The sequence below is a fragment of the Homo sapiens genome, chromosome 12 (genome assembly GCF_000001405.40).
Source record: "Homo sapiens chromosome 12, GRCh38.p14 Primary Assembly".
NCBI lineage: Eukaryota > Metazoa > Chordata > Mammalia > Primates > Hominidae > Homo > Homo sapiens.
Window position 1 is genome coordinate 77,347,310 of NC_000012.12, and position 1,836 is coordinate 77,349,145.

General features: G+C 44.8%; 1 annotated feature.

Moving 5' to 3' along the window:
* Positions 346-1,545: an enhancer, noted in NCBI's record as "MED14-independent group 3 enhancer chr12:77741435-77742634 (GRCh37/hg19 assembly coordinates)". NCBI's record gives its function as "activates an origin of replication core promoter dependent on BRD2, BRD4, P300/CBP and CDK7 cofactors, and independent of MED14, by STARR-seq in HCT116 cells {active_cell/tissue: HCT116}" and the evidence as "EXISTENCE:reporter gene assay evidence [ECO:0000049][PMID:35650434]".

Sequence of the window (1,836 nt, forward strand, 5' to 3'; positions counted from 1 at the left end):
CTGGAACAGGAGGGAGGGGAAACAGCTTTTATGATAGCTCCTATGTTAGTGCTTTTCCTCAATATTGGCTGGCGCAGGCTTTTGAAATTTTGTGTCTCACACCTCACTGGGGATTATCTGGAGGCCCCTTATTATGGATGCTATCAAATTTGTAGGGTTGGTGGTCTTAGACCTGACCCAAGGCACGTAGAAATGCTTCTTTTTTTAAATAACATTTACTGGTTTACTATAAGGGATATTACGAAGGATATAGAAGAAATGCATAGGACAAGGCATAGGGGAAACTTCCATGCCCTCCATGGATGTGCCACCATCCAGGAACCACCATGTGCTCAGCTATCTGGAAGCTCCCTGAACCCTATTCTCTTGGGTTTTATGGAAGCTTCATGACTCAGCATCCCTTCCTCTAGGGTATGGAGCCAGATCCTCTCTGGAATGAGGGTCTTATGACCCACAATCAGAAAGGTAAGGAAGATTAGAGCCCTGCCTTGGGACAGGTGAAAGGGAGGCAGGAGAAAGTCAGAGCGGCTCTGTTTCCTGAGGCTGCCCCTGAGGCTTAACACATCCACCATTATAACAAAAGACTGTAACAAGGGCTATGGAAGTTATGTTCTGTGGCTTTCTTCTGTTTAGTTATAAGACAGCCTTGGGCCTAATGACATTCCTGTGTAGATCTGCACATCTTCAGAATTCAGCTGCTTCTTGGCTGATGGTACTTCCCCTTCTGGTTCATTTAGTTACCTGGACTATTTCAGGCACAATTATCTAAGAATGAGTGGTTAGAAGACAGTATCTATCTCCAGCTGTTTGATATACAGTAGGAAGCATACAGGTTGCAGCAGGTAACAAGCATTAGCTGCCATGGCATACTAGAGGGCTGCTGTATTAGTCCATTCTGGCACTGCTATAAAGAAATACCTGAGGCTGGGTAATTTATGAAGAAAGAGATTTAATTGGCTCACGATTCTGCAGGCTGTGCAGAAAGCATGATTCTGGCATCTGCTTGGCTTCTGGGGAGGCCTCAGGAAACTTACATCATGGCCGAAGGCAAAGGGAGAGCCAGCACTTCACATGGCTGGAGCAGAGGGAAGGGGGAGGAGGAGGTGCTACACACTTTCAGACAACCAGATCTCGTGAGAACTTACTCACTATCATGAGAACAGCACCAAGGGGATGGTGCTGAATCATTCATGAAGGATCCACCTCCATGATCCAATCACCTCCCAGCAGGCCCCAACTCCAACACTAGGTAGATTACAATTCGACTTGAGGTTTGGGCAGGGACACAGATCCAAACCTTATCACCTGTGGTTCCTTGGAGAGGCTTGGAGTCTCCCTGAGTTACTGCCATCCCTCAAATATAGCTCACCAACCATCATTTATTCAGTGCCTACTATGTGCCGTGTGTTTTCCCCACACTTGCCTATTTTCTATATTAATAAGGTAATATGTTAGTATCCTATTGCTGCTGTAACAAATCCTACCAATGTAGTAGCTTAGAACAAGACAAATTTATTATCTTACAGTTCTGGAAGTCAAAAGTTCTAAAGTCAAGGTGAGGTGTAAGCAGGGATGCATTCTTTCCAAAGGTCCCAGGTTCTAGAGGCTACCTGCACTCTTTGGCTTGTGGCTCCTTCTTCCATCTTTAAAACCAGCAGTGTGCCATCTTCAGATCTCTCTGTCTGACCTCTGCATTTGTCATTCCATCCTCTTCTCTTTCTTTACCTTATGAGGACCCTTGCAATTACATTGAGTCCATCTGGAATAATCCAGGATAATAATCCTATCACAAGATACTTAATGACATCTTCAAAGTCTCTTTTGACACATAGAGTA